The 26,036-nt window shown below is 37.1% G+C and overlaps 2 protein-coding genes across 5 annotated transcripts in view; both read right to left on the reverse strand.

Annotated features, from left to right (window-relative positions):
- The window catches only part of RNF103-CHMP3 (RNF103-CHMP3 readthrough), a 217,693-nt gene that overhangs the window by 14,949 nt on the left and 176,708 nt on the right, over positions 1-26,036 (reverse strand). The window contains exons 4-5 of the mRNA NM_001198954.1: positions 23,874-23,934; positions 10,840-11,019 (exon numbers count right to left, since the gene is read on the reverse strand). Of these exons, the coding sequence (NP_001185883.1) occupies positions 10,840-11,019; positions 23,874-23,934 (241 nt within the window). The remainder of the gene's footprint in view (positions 1-10,839; positions 11,020-23,873; positions 23,935-26,036) is intronic.
- The window catches only part of CHMP3 (charged multivesicular body protein 3), a 60,014-nt gene that overhangs the window by 14,949 nt on the left and 19,029 nt on the right, over positions 1-26,036 (reverse strand). The window contains exons 2-3 of one of the 4 annotated variants that reach the window (NM_001193517.2): positions 23,874-23,934; positions 10,910-11,019 (exon numbers count right to left, since the gene is read on the reverse strand). The exons of 1 other annotated variant lie outside the window; for it this stretch is intronic. In NM_001193517.2, the coding sequence (NP_001180446.1) occupies positions 10,910-11,019; positions 23,874-23,934 (171 nt within the window). Of the gene's footprint in view, positions 1-10,839; positions 11,020-23,873; positions 23,935-26,036 lie in introns of all 4 variants that reach the window. 2 more of the 4 variants (NM_016079.4, NM_001005753.3) reach the window with 2 other exon arrangements.

Raw genomic sequence — 26,036 nt, forward strand, 5'->3', positions numbered from 1 at the left:
AGGATGTCACAAAAGAATGTTGAAACCATGTACATTTCAGAAACTTTAAAAATTTAAAGTCACGTTTATTTATGACTTACATGCCTCCACTTGAAAAAAAATAACTTGAAGCAGTTTATTAAAAAGATGTATATGGCAGATACAATAAAATAAAAAAAGCTCAAAAGTGTGAGTTGATTCCATAAATGTGGGCTGGAGTATCTCAACAACCACACTATTGACAGTCCGGGCTGGGTAATTCTTTTGTTGGAGGCAGCTGTTTTACGCATTCTAGGGTGTTCAGCAGCAGCCCTGGTTTCTGCCCACTAGATGCCAGTAGCAGCACCCCTTTTCCTCCTAGTTGTGACAACCAAAAATGGCCCCAAATACTGCCAAATGTCCCCCAAGGGGCAAAAATGCCCCTAGTTGAGAATCAGTGGCGTAGGCTAATAAAAGCTACTGCAACTGAGATAAAGTTTAGCTGTATCTCAACAGCTAAAACATGAAAGTTAATCATGTTTTGGGTTGCAGGACACTCACTGGTAAAAGCAACACTGTTTCACTGGGAAAAACTTTTTTTCAGGCTAAGTTCTAAGATAAATGTATTCCATGGCTTTTAATATTAAGGAATATTAAAGTATATAATCTTTATTGACTGCACCACTGATTGTATAGACGTTATAGAAATAATCTCCATGTGGCTGTTTCTTATCCACCATAAAAAAGCAAAGGAGGGCCGGGCACGGTGGCTCACGCCTGTAATCCCAGCACTTAGGGAGGCCCAGGCAGGTGGATCACCTGAGGTCAGAAGTTCAAGACCAGGCTCCTCAACATGGTGAAACCCCATCTCTACTAAATATACAAAAATTAGCCAGGCATGGTGGTGGGCACCTGTAATCCCAGCTACTTGGGAGGCTGAGTAGCTTGAACCCAGGAGGCAGAGGTGGCAGTGAGCCGAGATTGTGCCACTGCGCTCCAGCCTGGGCAACAAGAGCAAAACTTCATCTCAAAAAAAAAAAAAAAAGCAAAGGAATACTATGAAAACAGCTCAGCAAAGCCATTTCTGTGGGAAGAAACTGGAGGACGGAAAAGGGTTTCTGAGGATCCAGCTTGCTAACAGGAATTGGACTTTAAAATTCTAGAGGGAAGACTGCCTCATGTCACTCTCACTTAATGCCAATGATGTGTTTTTATATGGTATTTACAGAGTATAAAATAAACATTCATATGAGTATATGAGTATAATGAAAATAAACATTCATACAGTGTAAAATAAACATTCATATGAATAACAACTAAAATATGAAACAATCAGTTTGTGAGGAAGGCAGATGATTTTCACTCCCTTTAAAAATTTCATTTAATGTTGTATTTTGTTTATGCAGGGGAAAATATTTCATTTGAAAAAGACAATTATGAACTGTAGAACTTAAATCTGTAAAAGTTTTGGAGTGGAAAACTTAAAACCCTTGAATAAACACATCATGAACAATACATGACACAGATATGTATTTATTTTAGGAAATTACTTATTATTCAGCAAGCCTTAAAGAAACTGAATTTTAATCTTATATATGCTAGATCACAATTTAATATTAAATGCAAAATCCGTTTATTTAACGGCTCAAATTTGTAGACCTGAGTAATAAATGTGTGTGGTATGTATAAAATGACATAATGTTAGACTAACAAAAGCAAACTGCAGGACAGTTCATATAGCACTTGAATAGTAGTTATCAGTGGGTAAGGGGGCTGAGGCCAAGACAAAGAAATTGGTGAACAATTACTTTTATTTTATATATTTCTGTAGCATTTTTAAAAGCAATGTCAATATTAGTCCATTCTCACACTGCTGTAAAGACATACCTGAGACTGGGTTGTTTATAAAGAAAAGAGGTTTAATCAGCTCACAGTTCTGTGGGCTGTACAGGCTTCTGCTTCTGGGGAGGCCTCAGTAAACTTACACCATGGTGGAAGGCAAAGGGGAAGCAGGCACATCTCCACTGGCCGGCAGGAGACAGAGAGAGAGAGAGAGATAGGGGAGGTGCTATACACTTTCAAACAACCAGATCATGAGAATTCTATCATGAGACACCACTAGGGGGATGGTGCTAAACCATTAGAAACCACCCCCATGATCCAATCACCTCCCACCAGGACCACCTTCAACACTCAGGATCACAATTCAACATGAGATTTAGGTGCAGACACAGAGCCAAATCATATCAAAGTCTGTAACACATAAGTTAAAAATACTAGAACAGTCTTTAAAAATGTGTTTTGATTCAACAAATTGGTTTAAATTTCACAAACGTTATGCTTGACCCCAAAGATCCATACCTTGCAAATTCATTTTCAGGTACTCCAATCAAAGCACAGAACAAAACAAAACAAAAGGACAAAGGTAGCTAGGTGGATGTACTATCCTACCTGGGCCTCCCTTTTATTGCATGGCCTGTCCTTCTAGACACACTGTCATCACTATTGTCAGGCCTCTGAGCCCAAGCCAAGCCATCGCATCCCCTGTGACTTGCACGTATACATCCAGATGGCTTGAAGTAACTGAAGAACCACAAAAGAAGTAAAAATGATGACATTCCACCATTGTGATTTGTTTCTGCCCCACCCTCACTGATCAATGTACTTTGTAATCTCCGCCACCCTTAAGAAGGTTCTTTATAATTTCCCCCACCCTTAAGAAGGTTCTTTGTAATTCTCCCCACCCTTGAGAATGTACTTTGTGAGATCCACCCCTGTCCGCAAAACATTGCTCTTAACTTCACCGCCTATCCCCAAACCTATAAGAACTAATGATAATCCACCACCCTTTGCTGACTCTCTTTTTGGACTCAGCCCACCTGCACCCAGGTGAAATAAACAGCTTTATTGCTCATACAAAGCCTGTTTGGTGGTCTCTTCACATGGACGCGCATGAAAACTATATAAGAGCTTGGAGCTCTCATGCATCTCTGCCACTCAGAATCCCACGATAGCTCAGCACTCACACCTACCCCACTGCTTTAATAGTAAAATATACATAACATAAAATACATTATTTTAACCCAAAATTATACATAACATAAAATTTGTAACTTTTATCCATTTTTAAGTATATAGTTAAGTGGCATTAGGTACATTCATTCACATTTTTGTGTAACCATCACCGCCATCCATCTCCAGAACTTTTCTCATCTTCCCAAACTGAACCTCTGCACCATCACTCAATCAATCCCCATTTCCCCTTACCCTTGGCAACCAACACTCTACTTTCTGCCTCTACATTTGAGAATTCAAGGTACATCATATAAGTGGAATCACGTAGTATTCATCCTTTTTTGAGGTGCTCATTTCACTTAGCATAATGCCTTCAAGATTCGTCCATATTGTTGTAGCATAAGTCAGAATTTCCTCCCTTTTTACGGCTGAATAATATTCTATTATACAGACATATCACATTTTGTTTACCCATTCATCTGTCAATGGACACTTGGGTTGCTTCTACCTTTTGGCTATTGTGAATGCTGCTGCTATGAACACTGGCATCCAAATACCTATTTGAGTCCCTGCCTTCCATTCTTTCGGGTATATCTCAAAAGTGGAATAGCTGGAGCATATGGTAATTCTATTTCCTGCCCCACCTTTGAACCTCTCCCTTAACCCTCTCTTCCAATCAAAACACACTCATCATCTGTCTTACACTGCAAGGAGCTGCTGTCAGAAAGCTGTCACCTGGAAAGCACCTAATCATGACAATGTATTAATAGGTGACAAGGCTGAATAGATTACCCCTCCCCAGAGGCATCTGCATTTTAATAGGGGAACATCTTAAGAAAGAGGAATGACTTTGTCAAATCTTGGCTTTTCAATGCAGCAACAGGCTAGGGGTGGGATGGGGCCATAGAAAGATGACAAAGACATCTCAGGAACTTTGGTTACACTTAGTTTTCTCTTTTTCCACTCCCAAAATGTAGCCTTTTCCTTCCTGCCTTGTCCCAAGTTCTATCCTCGTACCTACTCTGCTGTATTTAATCTCCCAACAAGCAACACTCCACTATAAACCAACACAACAACCCTGTCTAGGAATCCTTCCTGTCAGCAAAAGCTTAGGTGCTGCAGAAGCCAGGTGAACCAAATAGCCACTGATTTCCTGGGGCTAGTCTGGTCAGCCCAAGTGAAGATTCCTCTCTTAGACCTGTTCCTCTCCCTGTGTTTCCAGTGTCTGTTAATGGCCCTGCAGTCTCTTTCCAGGCTCAAAGGCTCAGAGCATCTCAGCCTTGTTTATACCTTCACTCTGCACCTGTTCTTCTGTCTTCTACTCCATTCTCACTAGACTAACCTATTCCATTCCCCTACTCCACTCCATTACCTCTTAGGTCCCACTGCCTCCAATCACACTGCACTGTCCCTCCCTGCACCTGTGCTCTGTGCTTATAATGTGCTAAAGCTTTCAAATGTCTACAGAATAATTTAAATTCCTCAGCCTGATATCTCAGAACTCTGACTCCAACTTACCTTTCCAGTCTCACCTCCCACTGCTCCCCTTCATGCATTCCTGTCAAACTGTTTCCTGAACATAGCCTGAAATATTTCAACTGTGCCTTTGTATACCTAATCCCTCTACACTCAGACGCTGCCCTGATTCTCCCCAAAATACTTTTCCTCTTAACTCCCATTGCACTTTATCTGCATTGCTACAGCACGTCTTATTTTGAACTTGTCTTGGAGAAGCATTGCTCTCCTAACAGCTGTAAAAATTGTCATCTTCACCTCCTTGCCCATCCTCTCCAGCTATCCCTCCCACTTGCTCGGTACCCAACCTCCCAGACCTTCCTTCCGTGTTGGGAATGCACAGTTCTTTTTGGCCCCAGGGCCTTCACACATGCTAGCCATCCAAGTTGGCACACCACTTCCCACACCCCCACAAACTTAATAGTTCATCTTCTTTCAGGATTCATCAGTGCCTGAAAGGAGCCATTCCTGACTCTACATTTCTCTTTCACGTTCTCCTAGTGCATATCACAGTAAGCAATTATAAATATCCATTTGATTATTAAATTTATTATTTTTATTTTTTATTATATTTCTTCAATCATCTGCAATTTACCCCATACCTAGAGGGCAGTGATTGCGCCTGTAATATTCACGATTTTAACCCCAGTGCCCAGAAGTATGCCTAGCACATAATAGGGCTAAAAGAGATATTTATTAAATGAATTAACATTTTGGTTTTTGTAGCTCAGTCTATATGCCTGAAAAGACGAGGGAGGGCAGGTACTCAGAAAGCGTATACTTAAATCTAGCTTCCCCTACCCTCCTCCCTTCCACTCTCTCCTCTGCCTCCCTCCCTCCCACCTCTTTCTTTAAAAAGAGAAGTGGGATAGGAAAGAAGAGGATGATTGGGAGAAGCAGTTCTGAGAAACAATACACAGAATGTAAGAAAATTTCAAAAAGACAACTGTCATTAACAAAAGACAATACTGCACCAACGAGGAAGAATGGAATGATTTTTTAAAAAATAAGAAACTGAGAACTTTCTTGAAAATTAAGGTTAAGATAGCCAAAATAAAGAATTCATGAGAAAAAATGGAAAATAAAGTTGAGGAAATTTTGCAGAAAGTAGATTACACAGACAAAATTGATCATGATAATGATGATAATATTTAGAACCTATATATACAGCAATTACTATGCCAGGCAATGAAGTGAGCCTCACAACCTGCTTATGAGGAAGGTACTAACTATTATTATCCTCAAAATGGAACATGGGAAAGGTAAGAAAATTAAAGGAACAGTCTGAGAAATCCAATAACTAAGACTGTTTGCTTTCAGAAAGAAACAGAAAATACAGTGCAAAGGCAATGTACATGCACACATCCAAGCACTGTAGGATACAAGTCCCCAGGACTGAAAGGATGCACCAAGGAATAGAAGGATACAACACTTTTCTTTTAGAAATCCATATGTAAATACTTATAGATGAAATTACAGTTGGTCCTCCATATCTGTGGGTTCAGTGTTTGTAAATTCAACCAACCAAAGACAACAAAATATTCAATATCAAAAATATTCAACAACAACGAAAATGAAAGGCTGTGTCTGTACCAAACACGTATAAGCTTTTTGTCATTATTCCCTAAACAATATAGTATAACTATTATTTACATAGCATTTGCATTGTATTAGGTATTATATAATTAATCTAGAGGTTAAAGTATACAGGAAGATATGTGTAGGTTATATGCAAATACTACCTCATTTTATATAAGGGACTTGAACATCCACAAATTTTGGTATCTGTGGGGATCCTGGAACCAATCCCCTGTGGACACCGAGGGATAAATGTATATGGATTCCCAGAGGAAAATATAGGGACTAGGTGGGATGAATATAAATTCAGTAAAATCAGCCAAGAGTTGACAATTGTTTAAGCTGGGTGATAGGTACATAGAGATTCATTTGGGTATTCACTCTGCTTTTGTATATGCTTAATATTTCCATAATAAGAAGTTAAAGAGAAAACAATACAGGATGATTCAAACAATCCAACTTCTCTCCTCAGAAGTGAACCTTTTTCAGACCTCTGTTTATCCATTTATCATTTATTTACACAACTACACAAACACATCCTCTACTTATTTACAGAGTGCTATCATGCTATATATACTGTTCTGCAACTTGCTTTCTTATTAAATGATGCATCATTAACATCTTTCTGTAGCTGAATACTATGCTGAAACCTAAATAAATCATAATTTACTGATTCAGTCCTCCACTGAAGAAAAATAAAATGTTAGCAGTTCCCCTGTTACCAATAACTTTCTGTTGTTGGCTTTAATTATGTGTATTTTACTAATTGGGTAAAAATTCCCAATGCCTATAATTGTACAATTATAAAACTATTTCAAAAACAAAATTAAATACAAAAAACTTCAAAATCAATAAAATTCACATTAACAACGTAAATTTCATGTGATACTTTGCTGAACTAAAACACCACTTATAATGTGGGTTACGCTACAGGTAAAATACTTGATAACTATGCATATATATACTGTTCTCATCTATCTGTCTGGTGACTCCTTTCCCGCTTTTCTCCATTAAGACTACTGAGGTTGCAGTGAGCCGAGATGGCACCACTGCACTCCAGCCTGGGCGACAGTGCGAGATCTTGTCTCAAAAAAAAAAAAAAAAACTACTTAAAATCCTTGCATCAGATGGGATTCCCTCGGCAAGGACATTTACACAGTAAGTTGGGTTTTGCTCTTTTCACACTGGATTGCCACAGTGAAATTTGACACCAAACCTCATAAACAAAAATGCAAATGGGGGATTCAAGTCTCATGAAACTCATCAATTATAAGGTAACCCAGAGTATACATATGTTTAATTTTTTAATGATGCCAAAAATTAAAATAAAAAAAAATTCTCATAGTAGAAAGACTGGAAGAAGACAAAGTGGTGGGAGAAGGAAAATCAAGATTTTTTTATATCAATTTTGAGATACCCCTTGAGACATCTGAGTGGAGATGCCAATTACGCACTTAGAGATAAAGTCAGCCCTGAAGATAAAACTCAATGGCATTTAAAGGCATGGGGTTAGATAAGATCGACTACTGGGAGTAAAGATGGAAAGGAGCAGAGGATCTAGAATAGAGCCCTCGAGCACCTTAACATTCAGAGGCCAAAGAGCAAATACTTTACTTTTCAATTCTGGTAAAGCTACAGTATATATGAAATGAACAACTTAACATATTGTTATGGGTGTACATTTAAACGATAGGCTCTTATGTGCAGTGCACAGGGAAGCTTTTGTTATGTATACTGCTGAAAGTGTATGATAAAAGAGTTTTTGCATGCAGACTAATGATTACTTACTATGACGATAACTGGCTGAAAAGGTATTTTGGAATCAGGACACAGGAAGAAAGGGCAAAGAAAAGAGAATGCTCGAGTTTAGTAGCTCTGAGAGAACTATTAACACAAGATAACATTTCTCAAAAATAAAAAAGTCTGACAATACCAAGTCAAAAAGGTGAAAAGGTATGGAAAAAAAGAACTCATGAACTGCTGCTGGAAATATAAATTAGTAAAGCTTCTTTGGAGAGCAATTTTGTAATTCTAGCAAAATTTAAACCCAGCTACTTACTTAGCAATTCTACTTCTGAGTATACAACTGTCCTAAACCTTTACACACAGCAAAAACTGAAAATAACCTTAATATCCATCAAAAGGGGAACAGAAAAATAAAATGTGATACATCAATGTAATTTCATCTAGTAGTTCAAATCAATGGACTAGAGCATGCTCTCTCTCTCTCTCTCTCTCTATATATATATACACATACACATAGATAATTTTATTGTGGTTGCTGTTGTTTTGTTTTGTCTTGTTTTATAGAGACAGGGTTTCATTATGTTTCCCAGGCTGGTTTTGAACTCCTGGCTCAAGTGATCCTCCTGCCACAGCCTCCCAAAGGGCTGGCATTACAGGTATGAGCCACTGCACCCTGCCTACATTTATCCACATGAACATATTTCAAAAACGATGATAAATGGAGCAAAAAGACGCAGAATGGTATCTATAGTATGATACCATTCATAAAAATTTTAAGATTCATGATAGTGGCTTTCTCTGGAGAGGTTGGGAGAGAAGAGAATGAAACTGGGAAGGTGTATTAAAGGAGCTTCAACTTTTGTAATAATGCTTTTTTTATATATATATAATATAGAAGCAGGCAAATACAACAAAACGTTAAATTGTATTAGTTCTGGGCCAGGTGCAGCGGCTCACAACTATAATCCCAGCACTTTGGAAGACTGAGGCAGTGGATCACTTGAGCTCAGCAGTTCAAGACCATCCTGGGCAACATGGTAAAACCCCGTCTCTACCAAAAAAAAAAAAGATAAATTTTATTAGTTCTGTATAATAGGTACATAAAGACTTATTACATTATCCTCTGCTTTCATCTCTACAATTGGAAAAAAAAGAGGCTGTGCATACACTGCTTTATTCATAGAGGGAAAAAGGCAAAATAAGCAATAAGGAAAGAGTGAAAAATGTTTAAACAAGCTTATCATGGTCAACTGAACATGTGTCTTTTGAGCATGTTGCAGGAAAAATTGAGAATCAATCTGAATTTTTCAAGCTGGCTATAAAAGACAATAATACTTGAGCTTTCAACATGACAGGATTAAACTATTTCTTTATGGCACTGATACTCAGTTTGATCAAAAGGCATATCTAGGTGATATATCCAGTATTTCAAGAGCCTAAAATCATCATTTTAGGGCTGTAATAACATGGCATTTAAAAGTGAAGATAGGCCGGAAGTGGTGGCTCATGCCTGTAATCCCAGCACTTTGCAGAGCCGAGGAAGGTAGATCACCTGAGGTCAGGAGTTTGAGACCAGCCTGGGTAACATGGCGAAACCCCGTCTCTACTAAAAATACAAAAATTAGCTGGGAGTAGTGGTGGGCACCTGTAATCCCAGCTACTTGGGAGGGTGAGGCGGGCGAATCGCTTGAGCCTGGGAGGCGCAGATTGCATTTAGCCGAGATCACACCACTGCACTCCAGCCTGGGTGACAGAGAAAGACTCTATCTCAAAAAAACAAAAATAAATAAATAAAAGATAATCTTGATAGATTTTTTAAAGGATGATGTGGTACAAACATTTTGTCATTTTTTTTTTACTCTTTCCCAGCCCATGATTATTCTCTTCAGTATCTCGAGAAAGAAACTAATGATACATTCATGGTTAGGCATATTTTAAAACCACATTCGAATGTTAAAATTGAATGTGAAGAAAATACCTTCAGAACGAAATACAACCAAATAATGCATTAGAAACCCATTTGGCACCATCCTATAAATTAAAACACTTCATCTTCTAACTTCTTTTGAGTGTGATCAATGAAGTATCTGACAGAGAGTTGAAAATATTCTTCAGTGAAAAATTTCTCCATAATTTATTTCTTTTTTAGACACAGTCTTGCTATATTTATTGTCCAGGCTCAGGCACAGTGGTTATTCACAGGTGTAATCAGAGCTCACTGTGGCCTCAAACCCCTGGGCTCAAGCACTTAATTCTCCTTGCTCAGCCTCCTGAGCAGCTGGGACTACAACTGCATGCCACCATGCCTGGCTCTCCATGATTTCTGAGTCTGTATTCAATCTAAATATCTGACAGTCACTTGCTGCCATTACCAAAGAACTATAGTTCTGAGTTAGGACTACTTCATAATTTAATGGAAATTAAGAAAAGAAACCAACTAGATGAACGACCACAAACAGTACTGTACTGGACACTGAAAGGAAACAATGTTTATTCCTATTTTAAATATCATGAGTTCCTAAAAGTCATCTAAAATGGAGAGTTCACATGTATGCTGAATACCCATCACGTGGTCTACAGATTCCTAAGATGTGAGGAAGCATTAGGTAGGCAGAGATGAAGCAGAAAAGGAGGTGAACCAAAGCCCCACAGCCTGTTGTAACATTTTGCCTGGGGCTGCTCTGGACCTAGGACAAAGGTAGAAAGCTCTTTTCTTCATCCTCCCTCCAAACATCTAGGCTGGCCTCTTACTCCTACAACTCAATTCTCAGGCCACGTGATAACACTGTTCAATACATTCTAACTTCTAAACAAAGCAGATTTATATGTAGATTTCATTACTATTTAGAAAATACTAACAAAAGAAAACAAACAACATTATTATATTTTGCATTTCTACAACACTCAACACTAAGAAAATACAAAGAATAAAAACCAGAGTTGAGTTTTTCCTATTCAAGGAACCCGTGTTGATAATAACAGCAACCCCGGCATTATGAGGTGACTGTAAGGTAAGTGCAGCCTTACCGAGCTGGTTCTTCATCCCCATGAGCACTGAGTTCATGTGTGCTTTGGATGCATACAGCTTGCTCACAGCCTTCCTTGACCTGATCATCTCCTTGGCCAGAACTATGCAGACATCCTTCTGGCCCTTCTTGGCAGCATCTTTCACAGATCGTTTCACTTTTTCTTCTTCTCTTTGGATATCTAAATTTAGAACAGAACACCAAAAATCAAGGGTAAGTCAGGTTTATTGGCACTCAAATACATTCTTATTGTGATCTAAATGTATCTATTAAATAGAAAAACATATAGAAGGATATACATAAAATCAAAATAACGTAGTGAATATTCATCATTTCCAGAAACAACATCAAAGTTTAAAAGAAAAGTACGATCCTATTATACTTGAATTTCTAAACACCTTTCTAACATTTGTTGGTACTGGCCCTAAGAATTTTTAAAAAATTACTGTAAATGCATTCCAGAGCTTGCTCCAATAATCAATAAGTAGTATTCCCACAATTATAAGAGTACAGTTTCTATACAGTCACCAATCATTTCTAAAAACCTGCAACTTAAGGAAAGCCTGAACATATTATAAGTCTCATACTGGCATCAGCTAAAGGTAAGATAAGTCTTTATTATATGCTTTATGATCAGTAGTGTTTTCTCCAATTTTTAAAACTGTGGTAAAATACATAAAATATAACATCTTAACCATTTTTAAGTATACAATCAGTGGAATAAAGTAACATTCACATTGTTGTGCAACCGTCACCTCCACCCAGACACCCCGAACTCTTTTTTTTTTATTTTTTGAGATGGAGTTTCACTCTTGTTGCCCACGCTGGAGTGCAATGGTGCAGTCTCAGCTCACTGCAACCTCCACCTCCCGGGTTTGAAGTGATTCTGCCTCAGCCTCCCAAGTAGCTGGGATTACAAGCACCCACCACGATGCCTGGCTAATTTTTGCATTTTTAGCAGAGATGGGGTTTCACCATGTTGGCCAGGCTGGTCTCGAACTGCTGACCTCAGGTGATCCACCTGCCTCGGCCTCCCAAAGTGCTGAAATTACAGGCATGAGCCACCGCACCTGGCCCAGAACTCTTCATCTTTCCCAAAACTAAAATTCTGCACCCATTGAACAGTAACTCCCCATTTCTCCTTTCCCCTAACTCCTGGCATCCACCATTCTGTTTTCTGTCTTTACGAATTTTACTACCCTTGGTACTTCCTTTAAGTGGAATCATAATATTTTTCTTTTTCTGACTGGCTTATTTCACTAAGCATAATATTTTTAAGGTTCAAGCATTTTGTAGCATATGTCAGAACTTTCTTTTTAAAGCTCAATAATATTCCATTGTATGTATATACGACATTTTACTTAACCATTCGTCAGTGGACACTTGGGTTACTTCCAACTTTTAGCTATTGTGAAGAACATGAATGTACAAATGTCTTTGAGACCCTGCTATCTTTTGTGTATATGCCTAAAAGTAGAACTGTTAGGTTATAGGGTAATTCTATTTTTAATTTTTTGAGGAACAGCTGTACTGTTTTTCACAGTGGCTTCATCATTTTACATTCTCACTAACAGTATACAAAGTTCCAATTTTACCACATACTCACCAACACTGGTTATTTCCTGGGGGTTTTGTTGTTGTTGTTTTGATAGTAGTCATCCTAACGGGTATGAGGTCGTTTTGATTTGCATTTCCCTAATAATTAGTGATGTTAAACATCTTTTCATGTACTTACTGACAATTTGTACAGCTTATTTGGAGAAATTCCAAAAGTCTATTGAAGTCTTTTGCCCATTTTTGAATTAAGTCGTTTTATTGTTGTGGCATTTTAGGTGTTCTGTATATACTCTGAATACAACCTCTCATCAGATAAATGATTTGCAAATGCTTTCTCCCATTCTATGAGTTGCCTTTTCCTCCGTTGGTAACATCTTTTTATTTTTTTAATGTACAATTTTTCTTTTTCTTTTTTTGTAGAGATGGGGTTTCGCCACGTTGCCCAGGCTGGTCTCAAACACCTGGGCTCAAGCAATCTACCCACCACAGCCTCCCAAAGTGCTGGAATTACAGGTGTGAACCACTGTGCCCTGCCAGGTAATCTTTTTAAGATGCACAAAAATTTTTGATTTTCATGAAGTCCAGTTTGTCTACTCTTTTTTATTTTTTGGAGATGGATCTATGTTGCTCAGGGTGTAGTGCAGTGGCTATTCACAGGCATGATTATAGCACATTACAGCTTCATACTCCTGGCCTCAACTGGTCTTCCAGCCTCAGCCTCCCGAGTAGCTGGGACTACAGGCACACATCACCACGCCCAGCAGTTTGTTCTTCAAGTTGTGAAGTTTTACTCTGTGTTTTTTTCTAAGAGTTTTATAGTTTTAGCTCTTACATTTAGGTCTTTGATCCATTTGGGGTTAGTTTCTGTATACATTGTTAGGTAAAGGTCCAACTGAATTCTTTTGCATATGGATATCCAGTTTTCCCAGCACCATTTGCTGAAAACTGTCCTTTCCTCCACTGAATGGTCTTGCTACCCTTGTCAAAAATCAGTTGACAACAGACACATAGTTTTTCTGGATACCTATTTCTATTCCATTCGTTTATATGTCTTTATGTCAGTACTACATTGATTTTATCTCTGTAGCTTTGTGGCAAGTTTTGAAACCAGGAAGTGAGTTGTTAAACTTTCTTTTTTTAAGACTATTTTGATTATTTAGGGTCTCTTAAGATTCTATAAGAATTTTAGGACAGATATCTCTATTTCTACAAAAAATGTCATTGGGATTTTGATAAGGATTGCACTTTGAATGTATAAGATTGCTTTGGGGTACTACTGACATCTTAACAATATCTAATCTCCCAATACATGAAAATGTGATGTCTTTCCATTTATTTATGTCCAATTCCTTTCAGTAATATTTCATCATTTTCATTATACAAGTCTTTTGCCTCCTTGGTTAAGTAAATTCCTAAGTATTTGATTATTTTTGATGCTATTGAGAATGGGTTTTCTTAATTTCCTTTTCAGATTGTCCATCGTTAATATAGAGAAATACAATTTTTTTTGGTGCTGATTTTGTATCTTGCTGCTTAATGAATTTATTAGTTCTAATAGGTCTTTTTTGAAAAATCTTTAGGGTATTATACATATAGTATCAGCTGCAAACAGAGATTTTTACTTATTCCTTTCCAATTTACATACTTTTAACTATTTTTTTCTTGTCCAACTCCTTTGGCTAGAAGTTCAGTATCGTGTTAAAGAGAAGTGGCAAAAGTGGGTATCCTTGCCTTGTTCCTGATCTTAGACGAAAAGCTTTTAGTCTTTCACCATTTATTTTGATAGTCCCTGTGGTTTTTTTCATACATGGTTTTTACTATGTTCAGGTAATTTCTTTCTATTCCTAGTTGTTGTTTTTAGCATGAAAGGGTGCTAAATTTGGCCAAATGCTTTTTCTGCATCAATTGAGATGATAATGTGAGTTTCTTTTCCCCTTCATGCTGTTAATGTGATATATTACACTGATCAAATTTTACATGTTGAATCATTCTTGCATTCCAGGATAAATCCCACTGGCCGTGATGTATACTCATTTTAATGTGTTGCTGGATTTGGTTTGCTAGTATTCTGTTGAAGATTTTTGCACCAATGTTCATAAGAGACACTGGTCTATAGTTTTCTTGCAGCATCTTTGTCTGATATGATATCAGGACAATACTGGCAACATAGAATGAATAAGGAAGTGTTTTCTTCTCTTCAATTTCTTGAAGTTTGAGAAGCATTGGTGTTAGTTCTTCTTTAACTGTTTGATAGAATTTACCAGTGAAGTCATCAGGTCCACAGCTTTTCTTTGTCAGGATATTTTTGATCACTGATTCACTCTCCCTACTAGGTATAAGTCTGTTCACATTTTCTATTTCTTTATGTTTCAATCTTGGTAAGTTTCATGTTTCTAGTAATTTGTCCATCACATCTAGGTTACACAATTTATTAACATACAATTGTCCATCGTATTCTTATAATCTTTATTTCTGTGGAATCAGTAGTAATGTCTCCACTTTCAACTCTGATTTTAGTACTTTCAACTTTCTCTTCTTCCTTAGTCAATCTAGTTAAGGTGTATACATTTTTTTGTCTTTTTCAAGAACCAACTATGGATTTTGTTAATGCTCTCTATTCTTTTTCTGTTCTGTCTCTGCTTTAATCTTTATTATTTTCTTCCTTCTGCTAGATTTGGGTTGACTTTGTTCTTGTTCTGTTTCCTTTAAGTTGAAAGCCAGGTTGCTCATCTGAGATTTTTTTTTTTGAGACAGGGTTTCACTCCCGTCACCCAGGCTGGAGTGCAAGGTTGGTCACCATCACAACTCACTGTAACTTCTGCCTCTGGGTTCAAGCAATCTTCCCTCCTCAGCCTCCCAAGTAGCTGCGACTACCCACAGACCACAGCACCTAGCTAACTTTTGTATTTTTGATAGAGACAGGGTTTCGCCATGTTGCCTAGGCTGGCCTCAAACTCCTGGGCTCAAGTGATCTGCCCGCCTTGGCCTCCCAAAGTGTTGGGATTAAGCCACCACACCTGGCCTTCATTCTTAATGTAAGCATTTATAGCTATTAATTTTCCTCTGAGTGTTGCTTTTGCTGCACCTTCTAACTTTAGGTATGTTCTGATTTGGTTTTTACTTGTCTGTAAGTATTTTCTGATTTGCTTTGTGATTTCTTTTTTCACCCATTGGTTAAGAATGTGTTGCTTAATTTCCATACATCTGTGAATTTTCCAGTATTCTTTCTGTTACTGATTTCTAATTTCATCCTGTTGTGGTCAGAGAAGATACCTTATATATCTTTTAAATTTGACTGAGACTTGATTTACAGTCTAACATATGGTCTATCCTAAAGAATGTCTTGTGTATATGTGAGAAGAATGTGTAGTTTGTTGTTGGGTAGTATTCTGTATACATCTTTAGATCCAATTGCTTTATTTCTTTTTTTTTTTTTTTTTTTTTTTTTTGAGATGGAGCCTGTCTCCCAGGCTGGACTGTGGTGGCACAATCTCGGCTCACTGCAACCTCCACCTCCCAGGTTCAAGCAATTCTCCTACCTCAGCCTCCCGTACCTGGGATTACAGGCACACACCATGACACCCAGCAATTTTTGTATTTTTAGTAGAGACAGGGTTTTGCCAAGTTGGCCAGGCTGGTCTCAAACTCCTGACATCAGGTGATCCAACTGCCTCGGCCTCCCAAAGTGCTAGGATTACAGGTGTGAGCCACTGCACTCTGCCTTCGTTCTTCAAGTCCCCTGTTTTCCTACCTAATTCCTATCTAGTTGATATACCCATTGTTGACAGTGCAGTATTATCTAACTATTATGGAAGAACTATTTCTGTCTTCAATTCTGTCCACTTTTGCTGCATATGTTTTGACAGTCTGTTACTGTATACAAAAATATGTACACTTGTATTATCTTCTTGCTGTATTTAATCTTTAATTAATATATAATGTCCTTTGTCTCATATAATCTTTATTTAAAATCTATTTTATCTGATAATAACATAGCTGTCCCTGCTGTCTTTTATTTACTATGTCCACAAAATATCTTTTTCCATCCTTTTGCTTCCAATCTATTTGTGTTTTTGGATCTAAAGTCTCACTCTTGTAGACAGTATATATGTTTTTAAATATAATATTATGTTTTGTAAAATCCATTCTGCCAATTTGATTAGAGACTTTAAATCCATTTACATTCAAAGTAATTACTGTGGGCTGGGCACAGTGGCTCATGCCTGTAATCCTAGCACTTTGGGAGGCCAAGGCAGGAGGATTGCTTGAGTCCAGGAGTTCCAGACTAGCCTAGGCAACATGATGAAACCCTGTCTCTACAAAAAATATAAAAATTAGCTGGTGCAGTGGCATGCATCTATAGTCCCAGGTACTTGGCAGGCTGAGATGGGAGGATTGCTAGAGCCCAGGAGGTCGAGGCTGCTGTGAGCTGTGTCACGACGCTGCACTCCAGCCTGGGTGACAGAGCAAGACCCTATCTCCAAAAAAAAAAAAAAAAAAGGAATTATTGATAAGGACAAATTTTCTTCTGCCAACTTGCCATTTATTTTCTGTATGGCATAGCTATTTTGTCCCTTATTTCCTGCATTAATGTTTTCTTGTGTGTTTACTTGATTTTTTTGGTTAATGAAATGTTTTTATTCCCTTCTTATTTCCTTTTGTACAGCCATTTTCTTTGTGGATACCATGAGGATTATGCTTAACATCCTAAACTTATAACACTCTAATGTGAATCTGCATGAGCTTCTCTTTTTGAGTCTCACTTTATCACTCAGGCTAGAGTGCAGTGGCATCATGATCTCAGCTCACTGCAACCTCCGGCCCCCAGGTTCAAGCGATTCTCCTGCCTCAGCCTCCACAGTAGTTGCTATTACAGGCGCGCACCACACGCCCAGCTAATTTTTGTATTTTTAGTAGAAACTGGGTTTCACCATGTTGGTCAGTCTGGTCTCGAACTCCTGGCCTTAGGTGATCCGCCCACCTTGGCCTCCCAAAGTGCAGGGATTACAGGTATAAGCCACTGCGCCCAGCCTGCATGAGCTTAATTTCAAAAGCAGTAAGAAAACTATGCTCTCATAAAACTCTGTCTCTACCCCAGTTCAGTTACTGATGTCACAATGTTACATTTAGGCACTATGTGTCCAAAAACAGACTACCTTTTATTTCTTATTCATGTCTCTTAAATCATGTAGAATACAAAAAGTAGAGTTATAAACCTTTCTTTTTTTTTTTTTTTTTTTGAGACGGAGTCTCGCTCTGTCGCCCAGGCTGGAGTGCAGTGGCGGGATCTCGGCTCACTGCAAGCTCCGCCTCCCGGGTTCACGCCATTCTCCTGCCTCAGCCTCCCAAGTAGCTGGGACTACAGGCGCCCGCCACTACGCCCGGCTAATTTTTTTTTGTATTTTTAGTAGAGACGGGGTTTCACCGTTTTAGCCGGGATGGTCTCGATCTCCTGACCTCGTGATCCGCCCGCCTCGGCCTCCCAAAGTGCTGGGATTACAGGCGTGAGCCACCACGCCCGGCCTAAACCTTTCTAATTGTCCATGAATCTACCTTTAATGGAGATACTTATTTCTTCATACATCATCAAGTTACTGTATAATGTCCTTTCATTTCAACCTGAAGGACTCCCTTTATTACCTCTTGCAAGTCAGGTCTAGCTGTAATAAACTCCCATGGCTTTTGTTTATCTGACAGTTTTGCTAGACATAAAATTTTGGTTGATAGGCCTTTTCTTTCAGTATTGAATCCACTGCTTTCTGGCCTCTAATGTTTCGGATGAGAAATCTTCTAAAATCTTACGAGGATCCTTTGTATGTGACAAGATGTTTCTCTCTTGCTCCTTTTAAGATTCTCTCACTGTCTATGGCTTTCTACAGTTTGATTATAATGTGTCTTTCTTGGCAAGATCTCACTTGAGTTTATCCTACCTGGAGTTCACTGAACTTCTTGGATGTTTATATTCCTATCTTTCATCAAATCTAGGAAGTTTTTAGCCATTATTTCTTCAAATAATCTCTCTGCACCTTTCTCTCTCTCTTCTCCTAAAGTTTCCACAATGCATGTTGGTCTACTTGATGATGTCTGACAGGTCTCTTAGGCTCTGCCCATTTTTTTTTCTTTTTCTTTTTTTTCAGTAGACAGGGTCTTGCTCTGTTGCCCATGCTGGAGTGCAATGGCATGATCATGGCTTACTACAGCCTCAACTTCCTGGGTAGGTAGGACTACAGGCATGTACCACCACACCTGGCTAATTTTTGTTTTTATTTTTTGTAGAGATGAGGTTTTGCCGTGTTGCCCAGGCTGGTCTCAAACTCCTGGCCTCAAGCAACACACCTGCCTCAGCCTCCCAAAGTGTTGGGATTACAGGCGTTAGCCATTGCACCCAGTCTCTTTTTTTTCTTTCTGTTCCTCAGACTTGATAATTTCAATTGCTCTATTTTGAAGTCTGCTGATGCTTTATTTTACCTGCTCAAATATGCTTTTGAATCATTCTAGTAAGGTTTTCACTTCAGTTATTGTACTTTTCAGCTCTGGAATTTTGGGGTTTCTTTTCTTGTTTTCTAGCTTTCCATCGATTATTTCCATTTTGTTCACACTTCGTTTTTTAACTTAATCCACCTTTTCCTTTAGTTCTTTGCACATCGATACTTGCTTTAAGTCTTTGTTTAGCAAATCTACCATCTAGTCTTTCTCAGCAAGTTTCTGGTGACTTACTTTTTCCTGCTTTGAGTAGGCCATATTTTCCTGTTTCTTTGTATGCCTTATGATTTTACTGTTGTTGAAAACTGAATGTTTGAATCTTCTAATGTGGTAACTCTGGAGATCAGATGCTGATTCCCCAGGGCTCATCAGGTTTGGTTTGGTTTTCTTTTTTGCTTTTTTAAAATTGGCATAGGGTGTCTGTAGTAAAGATCAGCACAAGGTATAAACTCAAGGTCTTCTGAGCTATTTTATGAGCCTGTACCATTCCCTGGGCACGCACAGTGACTTCTACATTCCCTCATATATACAGTTACTTTTGAGTAGCCTAGCTCTTGATGATAGGAATGTAAAATGGCACAGCTGCCATGGAAAACAGTAAATGGTTCCCCCCAAAATTAAAGATACAATTATTTGATCCAGTAATGCTACTTTTGTTTATGTACGCAAAAGTACTGAAAAGAATTGAAAGCAAAACAGATATCTGTACATCCATCTTCAGAGCAGCATTATTCACAATAGCCAAAAGGTGGACACAATCTAAATGTCCATCAGCAGATGAGTATATAAATAAAATATGGTATATACAGACAACGGAATATTACTCAGCCTTAAAAAGGAATGAAATTCTGATACCTGCTACAACATGGATGATCCTTAAAAACATTATGTTAAGTGAAATAAGCCAGACACAAAAAGACAAAAATTATTTGATTCTACTTATATGAGGTACTTAGAATCGTCAAATACTTAGATACAGAAAGTAGAATAGTGGTTACCAGGGGCTGGGGGTAGAGAGAAATAGGAAGTTATTGTTTAATAGGTACAGAGTTTCAGTATGGATGAGGAAACAGATCTGGAGATGGATAGTGGTGATGGTTGCACAACATTATGAATGCACCTAATGCCACTGAACTGTACACTTAAAAATGGTTAAGATGGTCAGCTTTATGTAAATTTTACAATATAAATAAAAATCAGCAGCAAGACTAGTATGACTCACTTATAAACAAATGTTTGGGTATAAATACAAAAACAGAGAGAAATATATCTGGAAAAGGATGATCACCAAAGTGTTTGTGGTGGTTATCTCTAAGTGGTCGAACTTCAGGGTGATTTTAACTTTCTACTTTTCTGCATTTTCACATGTGTATAACTACCTTTATAGTCATGAGTGCTCACCCAAGCTGATTATTTTCATTTGAGGAGCAGATGAAATGAATTACCTAAATTCTTTCCAATTATTGCCTATAATGAGTGTTCAAAATGTGTTACATTTGACTGAAAACTAAAAATGTGGACTACCATAAATCTTCCATGAGAAGCTAGAACTCCCTATAGTTATATTTTGCTTTAAGTTGCTATTATTTTTCTTTAACTTGTTATTTAAGTATAACATATATACAGAAAAGTAAACATAACTGTACAGCTATATACATTTTCACAAATTAAACACACTCATGTAACCAGGACCTAGATTAAGAAACAGAATATTACGAACATGCCACAAGGCCCCCTTACGTTACCTTTAATCCACCATTCCCCCCGAGTAAGTATAGCCAATAGCTTGACTTCTGAGAACATAAATTCATTTTGCAGTTGCTCATTTTTACCCTAGTATTTCTTTTTAGATCCATTCACCTTGACTGCTAGCATAAAACCAAATGAAAGATCCTGATAGTGTTTCTGTGATAAATCCTCACATGCTTTCTTTCACAAGTAACATTTAAAGCAATCACATTACTTCATAGTCACACTTTATCAAAGTGCCCCATCCCCTTTTTTGGTATCACCATCAAGTAGTGAAGTCTCTACTGCATGCCAGGTACTGTCCTAAACACTTTATACATATTCACAGACTTAACTGTCACAACAATTCTATGAGATTCAAAGAAGTTTACTAAGGACAGGTGATATCAGAGTTTAAACCTGGTAATGTTAAGACTCCAAAATCCATGATCTTTTTCCTATATCATGTTAGAGTAAATTAATAAATTACTATTAATGACAAATAACAGGAAACCTACATGAAAGATATTGGGCTTGAAGATCATCATTTAAAAGGAAAAATGAGCTATGGATGTGAGAAGAATTATAGTAAGCATAGCACAAAAAAGGAATATGCAAGGCTGTGAGACACTAATGAAACTTATGAAGTTTCTAACATTTATTTTTGACACTGATCAATTATTATCATTGTCATACATTTTACCTCTACATGTTACAAGCCCCACAATACATTATTATTTTTACTTTTAAGAGTCAGTAAGTTAAAAACATTCTTAAGAGGAAAAAATAATTTATATTTACTTACATATTTACCATTTCCAGCATGCTTTATTCCTTCATATAAATCCAAGTTTCTATCTGGTATGATTTTTCTTCAGCCTACAACTTCTTTTAACATTTATTGTATTGGCAACAAATTCTTTCTGGCTTTTGTTTGAAAATATCTTTATTTCACCTTCACCTATGAATGTTATTTTCATTGGACTTAAGTCTAGGATAACATAGGGTTGTTTTGTGGGGTTTTTCTCACCATATGAAAGATATTCTAGTTTGCATCGTTTCTAATAAGAATTTTAAAATCATTCTTATCACTGTTTATTGGACCTAAATTTGTCTTTTTGGGGGGTTATCTTTTCGGTTTTCAGTAATCTTTTTGGTTTTCAGTAATTTGATTATGCTTTGCCTTTGTATGGTTTTGTGTTTATTCAATTTGGAGATGAGTTCCTTGGATCTGCAAGCTTAATAGTTTTCATCATGTTTGAAAAACATTCAGCTACAATTTCATATGATCCTTCCTGACCCCTCTTCTCCTGAGACTCAAATTATACACATTAGCTCACTTGATACTAGAAGCTCTGTGTTGTTGTTTTTTTCTTTTTTCTGTCTGTACTACAGTTTGGATAATTTGTATTACAGGTTGAATATCTCTTATCCAACATGCTTGGGACCAAATGTCTTTCAGGCTTTAGATTTTGGAATGTTTGCATCATACCATGCATCATACCAGTTGTGTATCCCTAATCAGAAAATCCGAAATCCAAAATCTGAAATATTTGGGTTGCTGACAGGATACTCAAAGGAAATGTTCATTTGAACATTTTGGATTTTGTATATCTTCAATTTCACTGATCTTGTTTTCTGTAGTGTCTAATTTGCTGTTAAACCCATTCAGTGATTCTTCATTTAATTTCACTTCATTTCAGATCTTTCAACTCTAGAAATTCCATTTTGTTGTTTTCTGTATTTTGTATTTATCTCCTCATTATGTTTAAGTTATCCTTTAATCTCAACATATTTATAATAGCTGCTTAAAAATCCTTGACTGCAAATTCAATCATCTTTTTTTGTGGGGGTTTTGGGTGTTTTTTTTTTTTAAATCTATTTCTATTACCTGGCTTTTCTCCTGTTTTGGGGTCACATTTTCCTGCTTCTTCATAATAGTATCTTATTGGATGCTGGCCACTGTATATGTTTCATTGTTGGGTGCCTGCATTTTGTAGTCTTCCCTTAAACAGTGTTAATCTTTACTTTGGCAGGCAGTCAAATTACCTGCAAATCAGCCGTGAAGTCTTTTAAGTCTTGTTGGTTGGTTGGTATGGGCTTGTGGTAGCCTTTTTTCTAGGACTACCTACCTGATCCTTATTATTAAGGTGTGACTCTTCTGAGGTCTCTATTGAACATCCCAGAGGTTCAACAAAGTCTCTTTTCTGTGTCTGATCAGAGCTCAACCACTTCTCAATCCTTTATTAGCTCTAAGAATTATTCAGCTTACAGCTTCCTGGTAGTTGTTCTGTTCCTAGTAATTGTTCTTTGCCCAGTCTCTTGAAATTTCACTCTAAGCATGCACAGCTTAGTATTCAGCCAAAGACTCCAATGGATCCTATGGAGACATTTGAAGTTCTTTCTCTGAGTATTTCCATTCTCTCTGATACTCGGCCCCACAAATTCCAGCCACTCCCTGAACCCTTATCTCTATTCTCAACCCAGTGAAACCACTATGCTCTGCTTGGAATGTCCTTCCATGGGCTATAATCCAGAAAGTATCTCCAAGCAGAATGACAGGGTCATATTAAGACTCTCTGTCTTTGTTTCTATTCTCTCAGTGATCACAACCCTGTACTGCCAGCTGCCCAATGTTTGAAAACAGCTGTTTCACAGATTTTTGTCCAGTTTTTTTCTCTCTTGCTTTGTCCAAATTTTTATTTACGATGAGAATGCAAGTTGAAAAGCAATTACTCCTTCATGGCTGGGAGTGGAATTTCCCTCTCCAATTCTTTTTAAAGAAAGTGATACTGGGATACCTTTATGATATTAACTCTTCTCCAATCATGAAAGTGTTAAAAACCTTAAAAGTTTTAAATATTACCATCCCTTTGCAAATCATCTTAAATGGTACTAAACAAAAAAAATCAACTTTATTTATAAACATACTGTCCTCAATTTACAGTCATGCTAAGATAGAGCAGTGACAATGAAATTGTATTTCTTACTTATGTATAATTTATTTAATTTGAATTCCATAAAAGGCATTTCTTTATAAGTAGCAAGAGGTTTCTTTTGCTCTTCCAAAATATAAAGTTTCTTCTAACTCATTATCTTTTTTTAATACTGATTACAGAATTAAAAAGCAAAATCAGTCAGACAGCTATAAATAACTGATATAGGAATAAACTATGTCTTATGATATATAAATGCAGTTTATTTTTATGAACTGAAGCAAAATATACCAAGAGGGTGAAAAATAGAAGACATAAAATGATAACTTACCCCTTATTTGCCTGTCAACAACTCTCATTTCCTTTCTTATCTTCAATGACCACTCATTGACCTGGGAAAATTTTTAGAAAAGGAATGAGGAGAAAAGCCGAAACTCCTAACTCAATCTAATTTAAGAATTTTGTATTAACTCCACATTTATTACAGACACAAAATTTAAAAAGCCATTTTCAAAGACAGAGCTTTAGGGTCAAATTTTACTTTTTTTTAATTTCACCTCTTTTTATTCACAGTGCACAGGAGTTTTAAGTTATTCAAAGATTCGTAGCCGAGGGCAGGCTGTAAGCAGCACTTTATATAAAACCTCGGAAAGAGTACGGTACTGTCTAGGTACACAAAGATTTGAAGAGGTCCAAGTGCACAGTTAGCTTTAAGAGCATCAGAAAATTTTCATCTTTCACAGGTAGTCATTTCAAAAACTACTCTGTCTGTGTCATGAGAACTCATCTTTCCCTTTTTCCCTTTAAAAATAATGCTTTTCCATTTTACAAAAGAAAAACATTCCCCTAACCTATGTCTCTTATTACCATGGTAGTTTCCTGACAGGCAAAAATTTCTGAAGCACTAAACATAGGGTGGACTGGAAATGCTGGTGGAGGTGTTGAGAAAGTAGTAAATTACTCTAATGATTACCAAATTATTATGCAAGTGAACTGTTTTCCAATTCTTCACGTTTCAAAAACACTGAAGGAAAACCTGAGTTATGAGTCAATTAATCATTAAAAGTCAATTTTATGCTAAATTACTATGTGCTTTTTAGTACATGACTCAGAAGCTCAAAAAACTGAGTGACACTGCTATAACTAAACTCCTTCCATTACCATTTTATTACATCAACAAGGTTTCTCAGCACTTGAGTCTGATAAATCATAAAACAGAACAGAATTTATGCTGAACCCTTGTAGCATTCATTCATGTAGCAGTCATCCATGGACATACAGACTAAATGGCATTTTTTAAAAGTCCATACCATTAGAAGATGAATTTCCAATAAATTTCATTTTTAATGTTTAATATTGAACAAAATCTGTAAAATATTTATTATGCAACAACAATTGTAATAATTTGTGAAAGTTGTCAGAATCAAAATGAAGTCACTAGTGTATTAAAAAATCTGACATATAGAGCTGGAAAGGCTAAGAGGGTTCTCACACTTGTATACCTAAACAAAACCTATCACAAAAGATTCTGCAAAAACCACAGCCTTGCTTGCTCAAAGGCACTGCAATCTTACACAAAAAATACTTCCACAAGGACATCTGCCCAGCAACTGCCTGTCCAAACTTGGACTGGCATCACTCTTGTTATTGACCTCTGTAGCCTATCATAATCATTTTAAAACAATTACATAATCCTCCTTTTCCCTTTAAAAATCTGTCTTCCTTTACGTCCTTGAATATATACATAGTTTACCACGGCAAGTACATTCCCACTGCAATGCTGTTGCCAAATAACCATCATTTTCTTCTAGGGAACCTCTCTCTGTTTTTTATTTAGGTTGACCAACTCCACTCAGAAAAAATACTTATGCACTTAAAACTGTGTGGTCATACAAGTTTTAAAAATCTAATCAGGTTTATGTACTTTTTTTGGAAGTGAAATTTATATAATTAACCATTTTAAAGTATACAATTCACTGGCATTTAGTGCATTTACAATGTCATACAACCACCACCTCCCTATACCCTTTAAATAATCTCTTCCTATCTCCCCCTCCCCAGTTCCCTGGCAACCACTAATTTGCTTCCTGTCTCTATGGGATTGCTTATTCTGAATATGAAAGGAATCACACAATGTGTTAACTTTTCGTTTCTGGTTTATTTAACATGATGTTTTCAAGGTGCCTCCATGTTGTAGCCTGTATCAGTACTTCAGTCCTTTTTATGGCTGGAAATTATTCTTTTATATGTGTATAACACAACTCGTTTATCCATTCAACTGTTAATGGAAATCTGGGTTGTTTACACCTTTTGGTTACCATTTCTACCACATCTCACCAATACCTGTTATTTTCTAATTTTTTTATGATAGCTGTCTGCTGAGTGTGAAGTGGTATCTCACTGTTTTGATTTACATTTTCTTTTTTTTTTTTTTTTAGTACTTATTGATCATTCTTGGGTGTTTCTCAAAGAGGGGGATGTGGCAGGGTCATAG

Source organism: Homo sapiens, chromosome 2 (genome assembly GCF_000001405.40).
Source record: "Homo sapiens chromosome 2, GRCh38.p14 Primary Assembly".
Taxonomy (NCBI): Eukaryota; Metazoa; Chordata; class Mammalia; order Primates; family Hominidae; genus Homo; species Homo sapiens.